This window comes from Homo sapiens, chromosome 1 (assembly GCF_000001405.40).
Source record: "Homo sapiens chromosome 1, GRCh38.p14 Primary Assembly".
NCBI lineage: Eukaryota > Metazoa > Chordata > Mammalia > Primates > Hominidae > Homo > Homo sapiens.
In genome coordinates, this window is record NC_000001.11 from 41,652,409 (window position 1) to 41,675,523 (window position 23,115).

Here is a 23,115-nt window from a genome sequence, read left to right on the forward strand (position 1 = left end):
CCCCTAACCCTGATATGCCTGGGGACGTGCCTGGAGGAGTGAGGAGAAGGATTTGGCATGGGGCAGGATTTACACATGGGGCCGAGGATCAGGGAAAGTGGAGGCTGAGGCAGGGCCCAGGATGGCAAGAGTTTTAAAGAGCAGGCCAGGCAGTCTACAGGACTCACCCTACGAGCAACGTGGAGGGGTGAAAAGCTGGGACAAGGAGTCAGGTGAAGATCGGCCTAGTGAGAAATCATCATCAAATCAGAGGGTGTCCCCACCTCACCGGCCATTTCCACTGACCAGGCACACTGACCAATAAAGAAGCCTGCCCTGCGGGGTAACAAACACACCTGTGTATATGCAGGTGCTGGCAACTCTATGTGTGAAAGCTATACATGACAAAAGGGTTTTTGGTCTTTAGTGGCATTTTAAAATAAGGTTCTTTTTTAGCTCCTAAACACCAATGTCACATGTGGGTTTCTGGGTTACAAACCCACCATTGATTTGTCACATGAGCTTGGTTACCCTCGTCTCAATGAGCACACACAATACTTCTGCCTCCCATGAGCACCGCACGTAGGGAAGGGAAAAGGATCATTTGCATGCCATTTTTCTTCTGAGGATAAAAGAAATTAAGCTAACAAAGTGGGAAAAAATGTGAGAAACTGACATGCTGAAACTAACATGCAGAAATAAGTTTTAAGTCACTGTTTATTCACTTTAATTTTTTTAGCTTTGACCTCAGATAACCTTAGCATTTCCCCAAATGTTTTTCTGTGGAACTCTTCTCCAGCTATTCTGTATGTGTCTAAATGTGTGTGCGTGTGTGTGTGTGTGTATGTACATAACATATATATATAACATATATATATATTTGTTCTCTGATCAATTAATCTTAAAAAGCTGCACACAGTACCCACCTCTACACACACACTCACATTCACAACCCTCACACACACATACTATTTTGCAGATACCCAATGCACTTCTGCATATTAAAGACTGAGAACTCCTGCAGGATAAGGGTCTTTAAAGTTTCCCAAATGTACTTGGCCATTGGACTTTCATTTTCTCCCTGTAACACATCTTTACACCCCATGGCACTTGTGGTCTACAAACACACCATGGGAAAAGCTGGACTTCTTTATTTCATAAGATCAGAGCTTGCTTAAAATAAAGAGCCCAGATATCCTACCCTTTTAAAAAACAGATGGGTTCTAATCAACCCATGATGATGATGGTTTCCTGCCCACCTGGGCATCTGGTGCCTCTCCTAGATTTCAGGGCGACACCAAATGTTCGCATGCCAAGGCAAGAAACCGTTAGGAGGCCAGGTGTCCTGCACAGGCTAAGCTGTGTGGCTCAGCAGTTGAAGGGTGGGTCTGGATCAATCCCTTGCTCAGTGGCTTTCAGCCCAAGGGTCCCCAGAGACTCACCTAAGCCAACTCACTTGTTCTGTGAATGGAGAATGAGGCACTAAGCCTCAAAATCCCCTGGCCCCTGTTCTCTTTCATCCACTCCATGAGACACCTCTCCCTGGGCCTAAATATTTTCTACTGCAAAAAAAAAAAAAAAAAAAAAAAAAAAAACCAGATTACCTTTAAAGGCCTTTCCAGCCCTCTGACTCTTCTGACTCTGTTCTCCTTGCACCTACTCCTTCCCAGCTATCGTCACTGCAATTCATTATATAGATATATAGTCACTTGATATAGCTCTACAAGTAAAACTATGTTTCTGTCTGTTATAGCATCAAGTGAAATTGAGTTGGTGAACTTTCACTGAATACAAAGGGCATACTTGGCCTAGGTTAAAATGTAAGTTATACGGTATACATGAAATTCACGTGGGGGCAGTCCCTGGGGAAGGAATCTCCAATAGAAAATTCCTCTGCCAGTGTTGTTACAGGCACTGGTTTATAATTTTGCTCCTTCTCACACAGGCAACTCAGGATAGTTGCTTAGGATGACCAGTAACAGAGATTTAATTACTTAATGACTCTTTATGGCTTTCCTAAGCAACCCTTAGGAGGACAGCTAGTGGAAGTGTATATGGATTCATTCATTTATTTTTAAATAAAATGTTCATTTTTGGAATAGTTTTAGATTGACAGAAAAGTTGCAAAGATAGAACAGAGACCCCATATAGCTTCTACTCAGTTTCCTTCCATGTGAACATCTTACATAACAAGGTATATTTGTCAGAACTAAGACATTAACATTGGTACATTACTAGTAACTATTTCACCAGTTTTTCCACTAATGTCCTTTTTCTGTTCCAGAATCCATTCCAGTATACAACATGGTATTAAGTTGTCATGCCTCCTTCATCTGTGGATTTATTATTGTTTTCAAGAAATAGACACCATTCTCTACTGCACGCAGGGAGGTATGCTGGGTACTACAGTGGATCCCAGCTGCCCTGCAGGGAGAAACACAGTGTCCAGTGGAGAGCAAGTCTGGGTTTGAGTGTCCATTCTGCCCCTCATTTCTGACACAGTCCTGGGCTTGTCACCCCACATCTATAGTTCTCAGGTTCCTCAACTGCGGTCTGGAGATAATACCTTCTAGCTTGTGAGAGAGCTGAATGAGACAGTCTACATGGAAAGACATTTTGAAGGCTTAAAGCCCTGTCCCATGCAGCTATTATTATTATTAAAGTTGCTGTAACGATTATCATTAAGCATATTTGATACACTGTTTCCAAAGCAGGACAGCCCAGAGTCTGAGCTGTCTGACCGAGCCGACCCTTCCAGCTTCAAATGAGATGTTTCCATAGACCTCCACGTGCCCCATAGAGAAAGGAAATTTTCCTTAGTCTGTTCAGTTCTACACTTCCTTTATGGCTCCATTCATGGGTCACCATATCAGTGATACCTTCTCTGACCATCCTACAGCAAAGAGCCTCTGAGGCCGCGCGCGGTGGCTCATGCCCATAATCCCAGCACTTTGGGAGGCCGAGGTGGGCAGATTACTTGAGGTCAGAAGTTCAAGACCAGCCTGGCCAACATGGGGAAACCCTGTCTCTACTAAACGTACAAAAATTAGCCAGGTGTGGTGGCGGGCACCTGTAATCCCAGCTACTTGGGACGCTGAGGTGACAGAATTGCTTGAACCCAGGAGGCGAAGGTTGTAGTGAGAAGAGATTGTGCCATTGCACTCCAGCCTGAGTGACAGAGTGACACTCCATCTCAAAAAAAAAAAAAAAAAAAAAAAAAGAGAGGGAGAGAGAGAGAAAAGAGCCCCTGAATCCCTCCCCACGGCATTCTCTAACTTCCCACCCTGCTTCATGCTTCTCCATGGCACTGAACCCATCTGACACATTCCCTATTGCCGTGTTCCTTTGTTCACGATTGGCCTCCCTCCACTAGTTTATGAGCTCCCTGAGAGCCCCAGTTGTGGTCTGTTTTGGTCAGTGCTGTACCCCAGTGCCTAGAGCAGCCCTGACATATAGTGAGGGCTCAACAGATGTCTGCTAAATGAATGACTATATGCTTGGTTTTACTCTGTAATCTCTTGCTTCCACCCTGGTAACTTGAAAACAACTCTTTACACCCAAACATACTGTTGAATTCAAATCAGAGCAAAGCTATTTGGTAAGCAGGTGGCTCAGAGCCCTTTGGGTCTTCTTTAAGAAAAAAAATAGGGTAATGCCTTTCTTTTAATTTAATTCAATGTCATGAACGTTTCTTTGCCTGCCTCCTCTCCCATGAGTGGCTCTGCCAATTAGAAACCACAGTCTCTTCCTTGTCCAGAGCCTGTCTGCTGGCCTCCTCACATAATCAATTCCAACAGAGTCCAGGCTAGAAAAAGCTGGTAAAATCCCCACAGCCCCACACGCAGCCAGTTCACTTCCTTACTGTATTCACTCAGCACTTGCACATCAAAGGCCCATGGACTTCTCAGAGCAGGAAGAAACCCAGGGGATCCCTCAGGCCAGCCTGCAGCTGAGGACATTGTGGTTCAGACAGGGGAGGGAACTGGCAAATGACACACAGTAGTTAGTGGCAGTTCCAGGAACAGAACCCAGGACTCCCAGCTCCATACCCTGGCCCCAATTCCTTTGTGGGCTGGAACCATCTCCCCATGCCCGCCTTTCACCAAGGAACACGTACGTGCTTATTACCTGGAGCTCTAATCTGATTGTCTGCCCACCCCTGACCATTCCTGGGTATTTGAACTTGGGCACTGATGGGCTGAGATGACTCTCCAAAGCAGCAATGCACCAGGCAGCAGAGTTAAGAGCCAGACAGAAAGGAAACGGGGGTTGCATTTGTTCAGAGCCAGGTACTTTACATGCTCATCTCAACTAACACTCACAGTGCCCTGAAATGAAGGCATTATAACTACATTTTATAAATGAAGAAAATGAAACACAGAGAACTTAAAAATGCAGCAAATTACACAGTGAGAAAAGGGCAGGACCAGCATCAGAGTCAAGTTCCTCCTGGTAAGGAAGCCCTTGTTCTCCTGCCCGACCACTCCATCAGAGGCCCAAAGGCCTAGACAGCACTCCAGAGCCTGTTGGGCTGGGTCCCTAAAAACAACAAAATATTCCTCTGGGGAAGTAACCAGAATGATCCCATTCTAGAGATGAGGAAACTGAGATCTGGAGAGGAAATACAACTTGCACATGGCCACGTGGCTTGTGGGTGGTAGATTTGCTCAACTCTGAGCTTCTTGGGGATGCAGACTCTCTCCTAGTGCTTAGCCCAGAGCTGAGCCCCCAGAAGGACCAATCCACTGTTGAATAAATGAATAAATGACAGCGTAAGGTGAGAAGCACAACCTCCCGACACTCCCACAAGCCGGGTGTTTACACCCCAATTGACCCACACGGTGGCCTCAGGAGCAAGAGACCAGGCTGATGCAGGTGAGCACAAGCCTAAACTCACACTGATATCCAAAGCTCACATCCTCGTCTCTGAGCCCATCGATGTCAGAGGCATGGGAAGTGATGCTGGCCCTGGTCCCCATTCAGCCCTCAGCTCTCCATGGAGCAATGGTTATGCAATGAAGAGGTTTAGGAAGATGGCGGAGCTGGTAATTCTTTCACCCAAAGACTGATGTTTATGGCATGGAATGTACCTTCCTCCCAAAGGCTGGTGTTTGGGGCAAATTGGTCTATTTTGTTGCCCCCTTTGGGAGCAGCTGATTCATTCACAAATACTGCAGTTTTTATTATTCTCAGTAATTTTTCATCCTAACAACTGAAACTAGTTGTTGTTTATGGTTCACCTACTAAGTGCCAGGCACAGGTATCTAATGAGACATCTGTCACCCTGTAGGTAAGTGTGAGCATTCCCACATCACAGATCAGGAAGCTGAGGTTTAGGAGAGGCAAAGCAAATAGGAAAGGCACAGGGCTAGAAAGCAGGAGATATAAACTCCGGTCTGTGGGACGCCATCGCTCATGCTCCTACCATGTGGCCTTTGCAGGTCCGGGACAAGGGGGTCGGAGCCACAGCCAAGGACAGATGGAAATGGGAGGCAGATGGAAGGCCTGCCTGACTTCCTGGGCCTCCTGCTGGCTGGGCTTCTCATCCCAGGCAGAACATCTAGCACCAGGGCACTTCTCCACATGCCCACATGCTGTCCCCAGACTCTCTGATCAGACAATCAGGGTGGAACTTGGAGCTCTTCTGTTCAAAGCCCTCAGGTGACAGCACCTGGCACCCCTGGTTAAGAACCACTGCTGTCAATTCTCAGACCATTTTCTCACAACTACACCCTCTTCTGGAAGGTTCGAAAATGTTTCTTAAGAAATCTGTTAATTGGTTTACAAAGAATATCACAACTCAAAACCGCTGAGACCTTCCAATTCTAAGATTCTCAACCAAGCAACAATAACTCATCCACAAATGCATGTGAAGGTTTGTCTTTGTTAATGGCAATTATTCCCAAACAGCGTGATGTTTATAAAAAGGACTTTGGAGCCCAAAGTCCTGGGTTTGAGTCCTAGCTCAAACCAGTTATTTGACCACAGGCAACTCAACTCAACCTAATAGTTATTAAAAGCCCACTATGGACCCAGAGTCCTGGGCTGGGAAGACTAGGGACACAGAAGCAGACAAAAAAAAGTCATGATCCCTCTTAGCTCCGAGTTCCTCATCTGTAAAACAGGAACCAGCAGTTACCAAGTGCCTGCTACACCCCCGGGCCTTGAAAGTGCATGTTCTCACTTCACCCCCCCCATGAGCCTCGGGAGGCAGGTTCTCCTGTGATCCTGCTCTGCAGCGGAGGAAGCAGGGGCTCAAGGGGGTGAAGTGGCCTGGGTGAGCCTGCGGCAGTGTGTGGCAGTGTCTGCACTCTTTCCATCCCATCCCCCGCTTGGCAGATTAGTCCACAGAGTGAACAGGATAATAAGGGAGAGTGCTCTGCAGCCGATCAGGAACCGCACAGATGTATGACATCATGGTTATTAATAATGGAAGCAGCACAACTAATTCACAATCCTTCCAGATGGACCACCTGAATTGTCTCCTAAAAACCTCCTGCAAACAGAGCATCGAATTCTATAACGGTAGAGCTAAGAGGGTCCTTAGAAGTCTGACCTTTTCCTCATTTACAGGGGTTGGGGATGGACAGATCTAGAGGGCAGCCCCGCCCCACAAAGCCCAGGATGCACTGTTGGGCTTTAGTGATTGAACCAGGAAGATAAGTAGGTCTCAGATCAAACACCAGCAGTTACCCCCTCCAAAGGGTGCTGGCAAGAATATCAGCAGCGAACTGCAAGTATGGCCTCTTCCTGGTCCCTAGCCCAGCTCCTTTCTGCTACAGGGCCTTTGTACCTGCTGTTCTTCTATGGCAAATATTCTTTCCCCAAAGCTTTGCAAGGCTGTCACTTCTTTATTACTCAGATCTCAAGATAAATGTCAGCTCCTCAGAGAACTCTCTGGGCCCCCACGTGTAGCTTCTCCCATTCCTCCCTGGCATTCTCCATCACACAGCTTTGTTTGAGTTTCTTCAGAGTGTATATGACGACTTAGCTTTATCTGATCCATTAATATTCATTATTTCTCTTCCCACTGGAATGCAAACTCCCTGAAAGAAGGGATTAAACAGTTTTCACTGCTGTAGTCCCTAGAATGGTGCCCAGGGCCCAGCAGGCACTCAGCAAACATGTTCATCAAGTCCCCCTGGATGTTGGCCTGGGTCATGGCCATCCTAGCATCTGGCAGACACTCATTCAATAAATGCTATTGACCCTCTCCTCTATGCCAGGCTCTCTGCTAGATGCTGCGGTCCTTGCCCTCACAGTGCTTTGACATTGATTAAAGCAAACAGCACAGGAGACGCCAGAGCTGTGGCTGTCCCATCACATGCAACCAAGCAATAGTCGGCCAATATCCACAAATATGGCAGAAAATGGAAGAAACTGGGAGACATGGAGGAAATGCGGCGTTGGGTTGGCCCTGCAAAGCACTCCCACATGCTCAGTACTCATCTTGGGGAGCTAGTGCCAGGCACCCCCTCACCAGCTCTGGGGACACGGGGACAAGGGGACATCCCCATTGCCACAACTACCTCATAGCTGCAGCCTAGAACACAATGGGATGAATGTGTGTGTGTGAGAGTGTGCGTAGGAGCAGATGTGTGAGTATGAACAAGTATACAGGATCGCATAAGTGAGAGTGCATGGGAGTGGGTGTGTGTAGAGGAGCAGGGTTGTGTGTGCGAATGAGTGAACAGGATGGCATGTGTGAGTGAGTTGGAGTGGGCTGTGGGTGTGTGCACGTGTAGGAACAAACTTGTGTGTACAAGTGGGTGTTTGAGTGTGTAAGAGTGCACACACGTGTGTATGTGTGCATGTGTGAGAGATGACTGTGGTACCATTACCAAGCTCTTCACCACAGGCTCCACATGTGGTTGAACTTTACATGCTAAAGTCTTCAAAATGAAAGGCACAGAGTTGGTAACTGGTCATCACTTAATTCATTCAACAATAAATCATTTGACTCTTTATGTTTTTTAAACACATTCTGCAAAGTGTCCATACAAAGCAGCAAGACTGGTTCTAGAGGAAAATTCTCAACTTCTGGATGTCATTCAGTGAGGTGAGAGCACTGGATGGGGAGTCATGTTGCGGTCCGTGCTTTACCACTAACTACTGGGTGATCTTGGGCCACTGTTTAGCTGTGTGACCTCAGATGAGCCTCTTAACTGTTCTGGGCTTCTGCTTACTCTCCATTAAAACAGACCAATTAGAATTTAGCTCTCAAAGTTTGGTTGCAACTGTACAACACTACATCATCTCTATGGGTAGCCCCTGAAGCACTGTTTCCTTGGAGAGCAAGCCTACTAACTTGAAAAGGGCCCGCAACTAGAAAAAAAATGCTGGGTTGGACAAAGTTAAAGAGTCTTTTATTGCAGGACTTCTCAGAGCCTTTCATTTGCCAGTATGGATTGTAATTGGCCAAAAGGGTAATAGAGAGCTTGCACAATTTGCCATTCTTACTCTAACAGGGAAACCTTTACTGGTGGAACAGCTTTCAGAACTAACAATCCACTGAACACACTGGGAAAATCTGCTACTAGGCACACAGGACACTTATTAATGACCCCTTTTTTGCAGATGATGGAACAGAAAGGGTGTTCTAAGTCACAGAGCAGAGCCATGACAACTACCAGCCCAGAAATCATCCAAACCACAGTTACTGGCACGTGCACAAGGCTTTACATCTACAAAACATTTTTTACTTACGTGATCTCAATCTTTCTTAAAAACATACCTCTGGGGACACTCATTCCATTTTTGATAAAACATAGCCTGAAAGAGACGAACGAGTCTGCCCAGAGTCACTAAGGGATAGACCCATAATTTGGCTCTATCAGTTTCCCCTATGTCCTTGATGAAACATCAATCAATACATTATATTTTTATAGATAAACAACTGTGGCCACTATGCAGAGATCCCTGCAAGATGCCAAGGCTGATGCTATCTGCACCTGTTTTGCAGCCACCACCACTTCTGTCTGAAGCCCAAGCACCCTGCTCTGATTAAGGGGGGTTGGGGAGGGTGCTCTCAGAAATGCCCCTGGAGTAGAAGCCGCTCTGGAAACATCCAGGCTGTGAAGTGGGAGTAGATCTCTCCCAGTCGCCACACCCTCCTGACCATGCCAGGTACAACCCGCTAGGATGTACCCCCAGTGCCAGCTGTCATTATGCCGGGAGGAGGGGCTCCTCGGAGGATCCAGAGCAATGCTAGTTTAACTCACTCCCAATGAGCCCCGAGGAGCCCCAGGCTGGTGGGCTCTGACAGACTGAAACTGCATGGCCTTGGGGGAAGCTAGGGCTGCCAAACCCATTCAGCAGCTCCCGCCGGGTGTGCCGTGTCCCACGGTATGCGTGGGTGCGAGGGGTGAGCGCCGCGCCGGGGTGAGAGTCTGCGCTGGACACAGGAGGCTGTGCACGCCAACGGCCGTGCCAGGCGCGAGTGTGCCAGAGAAGTGTGTGAACGCGGGAACGCTTGTGTCGCCCTAGGGTGGTGACAGAAGTAGTGTCTGGAAAACGCTGGCTGAGAGCGCGTGCATCAGGCCACCGCAGGCTGCGAAGAAGCCGGGGCCCCTCACTCCAAGGGTCCCGGGAGTTGGCACCGACGCACTACTGCAAGCGCGCCCGCGCCCAGCCCTCTCCCACCGACGCGGCTCCCTCCGGTCCCTCTGCCGCCCGCTCGGCGGTGCCCGGTCCCTGGGCTGCCAGGCCGCGGCGGGGGCGCGGCGCGCGGGGCGCTCGTTGCTTACCTGCGGGCGGCCGAGGCTCCGCTGCTCTGGGCTGGGCTGCGCCGCGCTGGACTGGGCTGCGCTGGGCTGCGCGCCCGGCCTCCGCGCGGCTCGGCAGCGCCCGCGCGCTCGGCTCCGCCCGGCTCGGCTCCGCCCGGCGGTGCCCCAGGCGCTCGCTGGCGGCCCACGCGGCGCGGGGTGGGCGCGGGGCGGGCTGGCGGGCGGGCGCCGGCGGCGGGCGCGGCTCCGGGCCGCCCCGCGGCCGCTTGGAAGCTCCTTATTTGGGCAGTGATGTCAGGGGAAGTCGCAGGGGCCGGACCACCCACTTCTTTCCATTCACTCCCCAGAGTTTCCTGTCGCCGAGCACGGGGACCCCGCCGCCGGCCCGGGGCGCCTCTCCCGTCCGCTCGGCCTCACTGCTGGCCACCCCGGGATGCCTTCGCGGCCGGGGTCGCAGATGGGCCCGGGCGCGGCTGGCGGCTGCCAGGGGAGGGTCTCCTCGCCCGGGGAATCCCTGGCTGCCGGCGGCCGCGGGGAGGGTCTGCGCGCCGGCCTCCTCGGTGACAGGCCGTGTCACTCCGGGCGCCGCCCCTCCCTCCGCGCCCGCCCCGGCTCCGGCGCTGTCTTTTCCTCCTGGGCCCTCTAGGGAGGGCAGACAGGGAAGCCCCTGTCGCCGCCGCCGGGGCCCTGCCACTCTGCGCCACGCCTTGGTCGCACCCGGGCCCAGCGGGAGTCCATCGCCGTCCCCAAAGTGTGCGCTCCCCGCCTTCCCCCTGGGTGCCAGCCGGGCTCCGGGAAGCCCGCGCCTCCCCAGGCGGGAATCCGCTTTAATGAGCTCTGGGCGGGGCGGGCCTGCCAGGGCCTCCCTGGGCTCAGGCCTGGGGTGGGGGCGGGGGACACCCCGGGGCTTCCCAATGGCTTGACTTTACCAGAAGCTGCTGGATCTCGGGATTTGGGCCTGAGTCACTCTGGTCCTTGCTCTGGCCAGGATCAAGCACACTTGAGCCAGTTCCCAGCCAGGCCTCCACAGGTCTGCGGGAAGGCCAGGACCCTGAGATCTCTCTCCGTGATCTGTTATTTCACTGATGCCCACCAGAGGTTATTTGGCAGAGGTCAACCCTCTGCCACAGTGGAACCAGGGCTGGCCCTGGGTTTGGCTGACTCCAGGAACAGCCTCAGGAGGAGACAATGGAGCTGGGGGTCGGGGGTGTAGAGTGGGGTTAAGCCAGGACTAGAGTGAGGTAAGTTAAGTGCCTAGGATGCAGAATTTAACCAAGCACTCCCTTTCAGGGTCATGAAAGTTTGAGGCCCCACAGGGGAACTAAGCACTATGCTGACCCAAGTTTCCAGGGGGATCCTTGGAGGCTCCAGGTTTCCTCTGGCTCCAAAGTCATGCCCTCAACTTCTCTAGGCCCAAAGGGCGGATTAGTGACCTTGGGCATTTGTGTGCCTTTATACAACAGCCTCTGATAGAGCTGCCACCCTTCCTCCAAAGCCAGATCAGAGCAAATAGACTCCTCCCAGACCCCCAGCTTTAATGGAGGGAACCCCCACCTTCTAAGAGGCACTACATTCCTAGGGGCAGAGAGGAGGAAGCTATGGCTCCAGGGCTTGCAGAGAGTCAAGGCAGGTGTGATTGCAGCTGGACATGGGTCTGCACACTCACGTACACGATTGCAAACCCACTGACCAGCTGCCAAGCTGCCCAGCTGTTCTGTGGATCACCACCACCCCAGTCTCTCTCAACTTCCATCAGCTCCCAGGGCCCAATCCCAGCTCTAATTGGGTCATCCTCCTTCTGACAAAGCCCCAAAGGGAAGGACCACACTTCCTGATCTGGCATGCAAGGCCCCACGGACCAGCTGCATCTCCCAGAGCTCAGCCCATCCTGCCATTTGCCCAGCCACCACCCCCAACACGCACCACTTTGCACCAGTTTCCACTTCTTGAGGTCTTCATACAGGCTTTCCCTTTGAAATGTCTTCTCCACCCCCTCCAGCTGTCCTTCACACCCTGAATCCAAGCCTGCCCTTGATACAGGTCCTTCTCTTGAGCAGGGCAACTGGGGTGGGGTGCCCCCTGGGACAGATTCCTGCTCCTCACTCCACTCCTGCCCTGCCCCCACTGTCCTGCTTCCCGTTTTCTGTCTGAAAGCAACTCCAGGCAGAGGAGGTGGGTGCCTTGTTATAATTCATATGCCCTGAGGGGTGACTTTCTATCATTCACACACACAGGCTCAGATGACAGCCTTGCTCCTGCCCCAAGTTGAATGACATCCTCCTCCCCTTTGAGAGGTGGCCTGGCCTCAAGGGACCCTCCCAATGGATTTGGTCACCTTCCATGATGCCACAGGCAACTCAATAGTTCCTGCCTCTACAGACTTGCCCATCACCTCACATTGAAGTCAGTTATTGGGGGCCTCCTCTTCCTCAGACTGGGAGCTTCAGGGAACTTTCCATCTTGATCCCTCTCCCCTCCCAGGACTGATAAGTTTACAAATGTTTGTTAAGTGAATGAATGGTCCTGAGGGGCAAATCCTAAGACAAACTAACCAGAGGACGGGGGAGAATTTACCCAACCCAGAACAGTGGCTGATGTCCTAGGGTCCCTGGCTGGGGGCTGGGATGAAAGGCGGGGTTCTCAGCTAGACTGGCTTGAATGCTCAGGAGACTGGGATGGCTTGGGATTTGTCTCCTCCTTTCTCTTGACAAACTCCTCTGCAGCCATCAGGGAGCCTGGGATATCCCCATGCCAACCCCCCAAAACACGGAGTCCTGAGCTGGCCCTAATGAGGTGGAGGGGAAGGATGAAGGAAAATGCAATTTGTCAAGCCCTTTCATTGTACCAGACACAGTCAGACTGGATGCCCCTGAGCCTTCCAAGCCATGCAGGCCTTTCCAGCGGTAGTCATTCCCCAGGCCAGGAGTGTCAGCTGGGGAGCCCTCACCTAGCTCCTCCCACAACCATCTGTCCCCACTTCAAGACTCAGCCCCCACCTCAGTTCTGGTGCCAATTCTCACTGGAAGCCAGAAGGTCTTCAGGACTCCAGCCTCAGAGCTCAGAGAAAGAAGGTGGGGGCAGACAGCCCTGCTTCGAGGCTACCAGCCTGACCTCGACTCTACTCTGTGAGCCCCCACCTGCAGACCAGGCCTCCACCAGTCTGCAGAAAGGCAGAGTTGAGGTGCAGGACACCTTTCCCACCATGTATCTGAAAGGCAGGTGGTACCAGGTGCCAGTTCCTTCCTATCAGCCCCATCCCCTGCAAGTAACTGGGCCAGGTCTTGAGAAAGTCCCAGTACTTGGCCCTGGGGGCCTTCCCACATTCCTGCATTCCTCAAACATGAATCAGGCACCATTTCTGTGTTGGGAACATGTAATACACAAGCCTGTGTTCATGGATGGAGACTGACAGGTAAACAGATATCCCATTGCTAAATGTTACACTGCTGTTTGACAAGGTTGGAGAGGGGTGGAGTAGGGGCATACAAGATGGAAAGATAAGATTCATTCTACTTCTGGAGCTACAATTCAAGAAAACTGTGATCCAGGTGTCCCGGGCTAGAATGCTGAATGCTTGTTTCCACGGAAATGTTATACACACACACACACACACACACACACACACACAGTCTGGATCTGCTGTAAAGCCAGCATCACACTGTAGAGACTTTACAAGCTAAAAGAGATTAGAGCAGAGGGCAGGTTTGGCATCTGATCTGCCATCTAGAAAGCTATCTCTATGGAATTTTGTTTCCAGCTTATAACAACAAAATTAGACACAATTTTGGAACCCACTGTTGCTCCCAAGGAGCTAGGGACCAGCACAGTGTGTTGGGAGCACTTTTAAGGTGGGGTGGGGCTGAGCAACCAGGCCCTGTGGGCCTTCTGGGTTATTTATGTTTAGGTCTTACACTGACTTAGCAACCATCCCCTCTCCATCCTCCATCCCCATTGCTGTGCTTTCCTGGACTCAGATGCTTTGGTTGTTTTCCTGTTTGGGGTGTGTGTGCGTGTGTGTGTGTGTGTGTGTATGTGTGTGTGTGTGCATGTGCACATGTATGGTAGGTGCTCTCTTCATAGACCTGTTGCACACATGAAGCTTCTGTCCTGGGACAGAGACTAGAGTTTGCATTTTATGGATATCACCTTCCTGAGGTCCAGTCCTCCAGACTCAGTTCCCATCCTTTCTCTCCAGCCTGAGAACTGTGTTTCCAGCTTCCTGACTTAACTTGATGCTGTGGATAACAGCATGGGCCTTGGAGCCACATAGACCTGGGTTCAGGCTCCAGCCCCACATTTACTGTGTCACCTTGGGCATGTTACTTGATGTCACTGATCTTGACGTTCTCATCTCCAAGGGCTGCTGGGAAGTTTTGACAAGACACTGCAATAGAACTCTTCAGTGTACAAAATAGTAGGTGCTCAATAAACAGTAGCATTGATTACTGTCCTCCCATATGGTGACTCAGAATCCTCCTCCTCTCATACTGCTCATCTTCATGGATGTGGGCATCAATCTTCTCAAGCCCGAAGCCAGAAGCCCTTCTCCATGCCTGGTGCCTCAATTCAGGCCACCATCACCAACAAGTTCCAACAGCCTTCTCCCTGGCACCGTGCCCAGCTTACCCCTGCAATCCATTCTCCACACAGGTAGAACTCTCTAGGACACCTTCAAGTGGGTCCCTGTTCAGCGAAACCACCCGGTCTATTAGGGCCTTTAACAACAGAGCCTCAGTTTACCAGTCCAAACCTCCCTCTCTCTGCACTATCCCCATCCACCCTATGCTCCCACCATACAGAATCTCTCACTGTTTCTGAGCCTTCCAAGCACATTTTGCACATGCAGTTCCCTATACTTTTCCCCTCACCCATCTGCTTGGCCAGCTCCCACTCAGCCTTCCAGGCCAGCTCAGAGGCCACTTCCCTTGTGAAGGCTTCCCTGGCCCCCAGGGAGTGTTGGCGTTTCCTTTGCCATGAGCCTCCAGCACTTGATACAGACTGTCCTGGCTTGTGCCCCACTATGAGAGTCATTTCTTCATGTGTCTGCTGCCCCCTTAGATTCTGCATCTCTGTGCATGACCAAATCTTAGCTCTAGGAATGTCACAGATATTCAGAGCATGCTGAACTGTTAACACACGGCTGCTCTGACCATCCTGCCTGGTAACCAGCAACTACAGGAGGCCAGTTGGCCTCAAGCTCATGGAATAGTTTTCCCCAAATGACAAAAGCATCCTCTTTTCCTATACTTCAGACTGAGACCTGGGTCTGGCCTAAGCTCTGAGACTGCCTCATTCTGGCTTTTCACCAGCATTTTGGGGGACTCCCACAGGGCTCAGCAGGCCCCAGGTGGGGAAGGCGGGGCCTTCAGTTCCAGGAAATCAGAAGATTAGTCAAGCCACACTCCCCTGGCAGCTGTGAGAACAGGTTTTCCCCAAGCCAAGGGACTTGCAAGATCATCAATAACAACAAATATTTACTCTGCCCATGGCTTTGTGCCCACCAAGGGAGGTGCATAAGTACAGCATCAACTTCCACAGCTTGGATTAAGATGGATGTGGGTGCATGTCCTGGTCCTGACACTTACTGGCTGCTTAACTCCCCTATACCTCAGTTTTCACAGCTGCTAAATTGGGAGAATAACACATCCCAGGAAAAATTTAGAGGAATAAATTAGAGCAGATAAAATTAAAAGAGAAAATGCATTTAAAGTATCAATAACAGAAGCAATATGTATTAGTCACTCAATAAAGAAGCCCCCCCCAAGCCCCCCAACTCAAGCTCTTTGGGGGATACTATGATGAACAAGACCTAGTCCTTGCCAATAGCTGATGAAGTGAGGGAAGGGGGACATGAGAATTAAATCAGACCCTATAAACATGAACACAAGGTAAACAGCAACAGGAATGACAAAAAAGAGTTCTGGGAGTAGCAGAGGGAGAGAAGAATTCTGAGATGCCCTTACATTCTTCTTCTCTCCTGAGACTTTCATCCAACTGATTGATATAATCCATGTGGCCAGCCCAGGGCGAAGGGCTGGGTAGGGCAGTGGGTGGGCAGGAAGGAATCCCGAGGCAAGACAAATGAGGCCTGAAGGATCCTGTGCTCAGGCAGCTCACAGTCTGGTTCCGGAGAGGCCTTGCACACTACAGAAAATAACTATGACAACAGTGGATGAAAGCAGTGAATGCTGCCGAAGACATGGGCGAGAGAGATGAATACGGGAGGGGTGAGGCCTGGTGCAAAGGCTACTTTCAAAAGCCTGCATCCACAGCAAAGGACTGTGGAAGTGGCCTCACCCCATCCCTGCTCAGGCTCTGCTCCCACTGCAGCCCTTCTGACCTCTCAAGGCCAGAGGTGAGAACCCCAATCCTTCAGCCTTGCAATCTTCCCACTTGCAGTCATGCCCAGGAAGGGAGTGGCCTGGGCCAGACAGCTCACTAGTCCGTAAACATAATGTGAATTTGGATACTCCACTTTTCCCCATGCTGTTCCTTCTACCTGGCATGCCCTTCCTCCTCCTATCCCCCATCCACCCTTCCCTCCAGCTCCCCTGTAAATTCTCTTTGCCTATTTAGTGAACTCGTCCTATAAGCTCTCCTTCAAAAGTCCTGTTTTTCTTATTTTTTCCTGACTTCCACTCTCAGCAGAATTGAAAGCACCCTTCTCAGTGATGTTCTGGTAATTAGCTTTGTATATACCATCAAAATATTTCTCACATTATAGTAAAGTATTTGTGTCTGGTGCCCCTACTAGGTTAGGAGAGCTCTGGGGTCAATGCTTGGTACCTACTAGGTGCTCAATAAACAGGGCACCTGGAAGGCTTTCTCCTGAGGCTTCCCGCAGCTGGGGTGGAATATGGCAGCCTCTGCTACTCTGCCTGGGAGTGCAGAGGAAGCTTCCATGATCCCTCAGGAACTCCAGACTCTTAGTCCAGTCAGCCATGTACCTTCCGGCCTGAAAACAAGCCCTCTGAGAGCTGTCTTCCCCAGGATTTTCTGCTGATCTCTTGCAACTTGCTCCTCAAACCCACCCTGAACTCTGACTGGATTAGAATCCCAGCAAGGGTCCTGGGCACCTGGCTGTGTCCTATTTAGAAAGGGCTGAGTCAGGCGAACTTATAAGCAGAGGCAATGTCCCAGAGGGTGGCAGGGTGGAAGCGCTGAGGGGAGACCTGGGGAGGGGAAGGCAGGCCTGTGAATTTGGTGGGTCTTGGTTTGAAGGTGAAAGATCAATAGCAGTCTGGGGGTGGGAGGAGGGTGTGATGGTTAATTCCATGTGCCATCTCGACTGGGCCATGGGGTGCCCAGACATTTGGCCAAACATTGTTCCAGGTATGTCTGTGGGGGTGTTTCTGGGTGAGATGAACATTTGGATCAGTAGACTTAAAGCAGATTACCCTCCCTAACATGGGAGAGCTTCATCCAATCTACTGAAGACCTGAATAGAATGAAAAGGCTGAGTGGGAGGAAACTCCTCCTGCCTGACTGCTTGAGCTGGGACATTGGTCTTTTCCTGCCTTTGCACCAGAATGAAACATCGGCTCTTCTTGGGTCTCAAGCCTACCCACTTGCAGAATGGAACTTATACCATTGGCTTTCCTGGGCCTCAGGCCTTCAGACTCAGACTAGAAATACACATGGGCTCTCCTGGATCTCCAGCTTGCTGACAGCAGATCATAGGACTTCTCAGCCCCCATAAGCACATGAGCTAATTATTTACAATAAGTCTCTTCCTATGTCTATATCTACATTTATCTCTATGCCTATCATATTGATTTTGGTTCTCTAGAGAACCCTTATAGATGTCTAAATCAGGACTTCCCTCAGATACCAGGAGGACCCCATATTCCTTTTTGGGGTCTCACATCTCCAACAACTCTGAAGTAAGTGAGCATTTCCTTCTTCCTCATAGCTAGCAGAGGCCTCACTCCCTGGGAGGGCCTCTTTGCAGATGGGCAGAAGCCGTCAGTCCTCTGTGGACTCCTAGCACTCAATATGGGTCCTGGCACCCAGTAGGTGCACAGTGATATTGACTGAACGAATGCATACCTCACACTTATTTGGGTAGCCCTTTATGGTTTGGGGCATAATCACACCCATGTCCTCATGGGTGTGATCCCAAGGCTCTGTGAGGGGCAGGGCAGGGACCATCAGCCCCAGTTAATAGATGAGCAAACAGAGGCCCAGAGAGGACCTAGAAGCAGTTCCAGCAGAAGGACCCTATCTCCAGGGCATTGGCTTTCTCTGGAGCAGCCATGGCCCATGTTTAGCAAAAACAGGATGCTGCCCTGAGCCCAGGTGCCTCCATCCCCCCTGAATTCATGCACTCTGTAACACATGTTCAGCCACTATTGGCTGGGCCCTGTTCTAGGGACTTAGAGTGCATCAGTGAACAAAATGAACAAAAATCTCTGCCCCATGGAACTTATGTTCTAGGGGAAAGAGACAGACAGTAAACAAGAAACAGAATAAGTAAGTAAACTATAGAGCATATTAGCAGGAGGTATGGACTATGGCAACAAGGCAGAACAGAGTAAGGGAACCAGGAATGCAGGGGTGGGAGATGAGTCACAAGTTTAAATAGGGTGGTTAGAGTCAGCCTCATTGAGAAGGTGGCATTTGAGCAGCAACTTGAAGCAGGGGAAGAATTAAGCCACGCAGTTACTAGGAAAGGCCTTTATAGGCAAAGGGGCAACCAGTGCAAAGGCCCTGCGTCGGGCATATTACACAGGGCCTGGCAGGCCACCGTGAGAGCTGTGGCTTTCAGAGAGATAAAAGAAGGCCCACACAGAGGCCTCCAACAGATTCTACCCTTCCTGGAGTGTGGGGCCTGCTCAGGCAGATAATAGGAGAGCCAGAGGATGCCTGAATGGAGGTGGGAACGGTAGACAAAGAAGAGGTGGGAAGAAATTTTCCCTGATTATCATCCCTTTCTGCTTCAACCAGACACCCCCAAGCAAAGGCAGCTCCTGCGGGTGGGGGACAGGCCCCTCCCCACCCTGCCTCTCCTAAGCCTCCCTCTCAGGGGACTTGTGAGGAGTTAATGAAGTTGAGCCCAGGAAAGCACCACAGGTAGACTGTAGAACGCTGGGCCCCCAGCTGGCTATCACCATCACTGCCCAGCCTCGACAGGGAGGCAGGGGCTTCGCCTTTCCTCTGCTACACACTGGCAGATGCAAGAAGCAGATCCGCTCCGAAGCCTAGATGAAGTCGCAGTTAGCAGCCTAATTTTAGACTGAGCATCTGCTCTTCCGTCCCAGAGATGCAGCTCTGTCTGGGATTTGCTCCTTCTGGAATTGCCGGAGAAACGAATCCTGCTCTCGGGGGCAGGCACTGGTGGTGTCCAGATCAGAGCTGACCAATAGGCCCTGCCATGGGGAAGGCCTCAGGAGCTGTGCCACCCTGGCCATCCTGTGTCCTCCTAGCTGAGCTCCCATCTCACACTGACATCTACAGAGTCCTATAGCTTCCATCTTGGAGTCCCACTCTGCCTTCTCAGAAAGCCACAGGTCAAATGAGGCTCCGCCTCACGCAGAACAGGGGACCTCCTGGACAGGAGTGGCTTTTATCCATCCCCACACCCACAGCTCCCAGCGCAGACCCCGAAGAATTCATCCCAGGTGAGTACGGCCCAGTCAGACTAAGACTAGGAGAGCACAAAGGAAGGACCAGTTGTTTGCAAATCTTCCCAGGAAAGCTTGTCAGAGGAGATGAGTTTTGAGTTGGATTTTGAAGAGTGGGTAGGTATTTATCAGTGGAAAAGCCAGGAAAAGCTATGGAGGCAGGGGAAACAGCTGAAAAGAATATGAAAGTTGGAGAATGGCCTGAAGGGAGGGAGAAGAAAGTGGGGAGACCCTGGTGGGGATTGGGCAGGGGCTGGGTGCAGTTGAGTTGGGCCACAACTCCAGGCTAAGCAGTTGGGGTTGTATCTGCAGGTGGGAGAGTCTATGGGGGCCCTTAGCGCATGAGTGTGCTCTGACAGATGGCTGTGGAAGACTTCCAGGTGGGAAGCCCATGCCCCTCTCACCTGGGAGAGCCACTTTCCCTGTTGACTTCCTCCATGGTTTGCCAGGTCCTTTGGGGCCCTCCCCACCTCCCTGGCACATGTGGGGCAGGCCCCATGTGCAGAGTACACTGTGGATACTCACTCCCCTCCCAGACCCCCACCTGAGCTCTGCCCACACATCTCCTGGCATCAGGCCCATCACCTCCCACCCTTCTGACCGCTGCAGCCACTGCTTGGTCCTTGTCTGAATCCCCAGTTCCCATGGGCAGTGTTCTTTTGCTTCTCCGGCCTCAGCTTCTCTGCCCTGGGGCTGTTATCTCAAGATTCCTCAAGAATGACTCTGCAGTCCCACGTGCCTCTCCCTACCTTTCTGTTTGTGGGCGGCAAGCCCTGTTCTCTGAGCTAAGGACTTTCTACACATCACCTTGCTTTATCCCCCAACAATCCTGGAAGATGTTTATTATTTATCCCTTTTTACAGGTGAAGAAAAGGGTTTGATGAGCTTAATTTGTGATTGATCACACAGCCAGGAAGTGGTAGAGTGGAGGCCGTCTGCCTCTCAGTCCTCTCCCACCAGGTTCCCCCAGCCTTGAGGGCAGGGCTTGAGCAGTGATGCCCAGGCCAGAGGCAGTCAAGACATCTGGCCAGTTCAGGTGGGGAGTGAGGAGAGTGAAAGAGGAGGAAGACTCAGCCAGGGACCATGCCTGGATTCCCTTGAGAAAGAATGAGTTAAACACTTACGTAAAGAGATTTGCAAATAGATTCTACAAAACAACATTTGGATGATTTAAGTGTTAAGGAATCAGAACCATATGGATTAAATGTCCCTGACGTTACGTATGGTTTTAAAAATTAGAAGGAAATGTACCGGGAATATACACATGTATAAAATATGTAAAGCCAGGCCACATTTTTAGCTTTGTGGACATGGAGTTATTTGAAAAATACGGCACAGCTTCTCCCAGGCTGGCGGTCCCCCTGCCCCCTCCCCAGGCCTTGTCTTCTCCCCCACCAAATGGGGCTCAGCTCCCTCCCTAGGGGCCCAGCCTGAGAAAGAGACTTCCTGGAACAGCCGGCTAGCTGCTCTAACCACAGGACAGTTGGAGCCAAACAGCTGGGTCAGGAACGACTGGGGTCTCCCAGAGGCCAGATGGGTGGTCTCAGGTGCAAAGAGGCAGTGAGAGAATGCAAGTTTCCCAGGAGGACCTTTAAGTACTTTATAGAGAAGATGTTGAGTAGCTCAGGAGAGGCAGACAGCATTTTCAGTTCATTATTGCTTTTGAACCTCACTCAGTTTCCCCAGCAGCCACAGGAGGAAAAGGTTATTACCCCCATTTCATAGGAGGGGAGGCTGAGGCTGAGGAGGGCTGGCTGCTCGGCTTAGCTTACAGGCAGTGCACCAGACCACGACCTGGATTTCCTGGTTACACACCCAGAGCTTCTCCTCACTGTATCTCACTGCTTGAAACAAACCAAAACCGCGAGCCTGAGTCCAATTTCTTGAACTCTAAGCATTTTTTTTCTTTCAAGATTGTGTTAGCTTCTCAAGCTTGAAGGTTTATCTGGCAGGGTATTTTTGAGGACTCCCTAAGTATGAATAAATCAAGTTTGGTTGTGAGTCTAAATTGCACATGCTGTTGAGCTAGGGAAGAAGGGATAAAATGTTCAGTTTGGGAAAAACCAAACCATCAGAAATTTCCTGGCCAAGTCCTGGTGGTGAAGAGAGAGGATGAGAACAAAAAGCCAGTTCGTTAAAAGCATCACGTTAGGTGCCAGGAGTGTGGGACCTCCCTGAACCCCCACCCCAGCCCGTGCAGAAGGTGGGGTTGTCTTTCTTCTGCAGAAAAGGAAACAGGCACAGAGAGCTTTGATGATGCACAGCTGCGTTTCTAACCCCTGCCTCTCTGACACCAGGGCGGGGCATTTCCCTAAACCCAGCTGGCTGGGGCCGACCTCCCCAGAGGGGCTTGTCAGATGAAGCCAGAAGCAGGTTTGTCAGGAGAATTGAATGTCACCCAGACATAATCCCCGTGTCGGGAAAGCTGGCCCTGAGTCTGTCTCATGCCCCGCCAGGTCTCCAATGCCCAGTCCAGTGCCTGATGTTTGTTAAATGATCATTAAACAAATCAATGGGTGAAGAGGAAGGAGGCATCAAGGAACCACTACATCCTCCCCTTCTCTTTCTTCCATTCCCCACCCATGCCACTGTTTTGTGGACACAAGGGATGGCCTTCCCACGAATGTATTCATTCTGGCGATGCTTCATCCTGTTCAGTGGCATTCATGCTTACAGCCTGTCCAGAGCTCTCAGGGTGCTGACTGGAACCTGGAGTATTTCAAGGACGTGGGATTCTCAGGGCAGGAACCAGGGGAAAAGGAGAAAGGGCAGAGGAATGAGGACAGAGAAGGTGAGAGACTCCCAGCTCTGGAACTTCCTCCCTGCCCCGTACCCAGGACCCCTCCGTAGAGTTTGCAGTAGATCTGCCCGTCGATGGGTTTCCTATAATGGCCTATTCACAGGTGTCCTTTGTCCAGGGTTATCCCAGCCCCACCCGGCTGCCGGCCACCAGGATGGAATCCTCACGCTGAGATCACATCCAGCCGCCTTTCCACACAAGCACCTCTGAGGAGTCCCTTTGTCTGCAGCCTTTCCCATGGTCAATTACGTTGGGAAAACACTGCCTATTCCACAGTCACCTTGGAGCTCCCCAGTGTACACAGCAATGCACAAAGCCCTGAGAGGGGCGGGTAAAGAAAACAGCTCATCTTTAGTCCACACTTATTGGAACAGAACAGGGACTCCCCTTTTCCCCCACACAGGTCCCATCCTCTGCACCCCATTTTCACAGCCATGGAATTCTTAAAATGCTGGCACAGGCAGCCTAGAAAGCCCCTCAGAGGCCTTCTGCTGGCTTCTCATTTATAGAACCATCCTCCCATGGGTGTCCCTGTCCCCCCACAGGTACCCCAAATGTCCTTGACTCCAGGCTTTAATCCGTACCCCTGTGTGCCCCATGCCTGTCCTGCTTAAATCCTCTCAATGGCTTCCTTCTGCTATTAAGACAAAGGCCAAATTCTTCCACATGGTGTCCAAGGCCTGCTTCAGTGACCCCACCTGCCCCTCCTGCCACATCTCCCCCTCGATCCACCTGGGGCGTAGGGTCTTCTTTCGGTGCCCCCTGCCTCAGGGCCTTTGTACATGCTGTGTCTGTGCCTGGGACACTCTGCTCGTACATCCCTTCCACATCCAGCGGACTCCTCTTCAACCTTTCCATTTCCCCTTGCATGTCACCTCCTCAGGGAAGCCCTCCCCTGCCCCCAACTAAACCAGGCCCTGTGCACATTCCCCAGCACCAGGCATCTCCTCTCCAGAGCCTCTCAAGTAGCAGCATTTGTAACTTTTAT

The 23,115-nt window shown here is 51.2% G+C and overlaps 1 protein-coding gene across 2 annotated transcripts in view, besides 3 other annotated features; it reads right to left on the reverse strand.

Moving 5' to 3' along the window:
- The window catches only part of HIVEP3 (HIVEP zinc finger 3), a 529,570-nt gene that overhangs the window by 146,044 nt on the left and 360,411 nt on the right, over window positions 1-23,115 (reverse strand). The window lies entirely within an intron of this gene.
- Window positions 9,695-10,574: a silencer, noted in NCBI's record as "silent region_751". NCBI's record gives its function as "represses an Ori minimal core promoter by ATAC-STARR-seq in GM12878 lymphoblastoid cells {active_cell/tissue: GM12878}" and the evidence as "EXISTENCE:reporter gene assay evidence [ECO:0000049][PMID:35858748]".
- Window positions 18,417-19,007: an enhancer, noted in NCBI's record as "H3K4me1 hESC enhancer chr1:42136496-42137086 (GRCh37/hg19 assembly coordinates)". NCBI's record gives its function as "activates a minimal SCP1, AML or CMV promoter by ChIP-STARR-seq in primed H9 embryonic stem cells {active_cell/tissue: H9 hESC(primed)}" and the evidence as "EXISTENCE:reporter gene assay evidence [ECO:0000049][PMID:30033119]".
- Window positions 20,190-20,779: an enhancer, noted in NCBI's record as "H3K27ac-H3K4me1 hESC enhancer chr1:42138269-42138858 (GRCh37/hg19 assembly coordinates)". NCBI's record gives its function as "activates a minimal SCP1, AML or CMV promoter by ChIP-STARR-seq in primed H9 embryonic stem cells {active_cell/tissue: H9 hESC(primed)}" and the evidence as "EXISTENCE:reporter gene assay evidence [ECO:0000049][PMID:30033119]".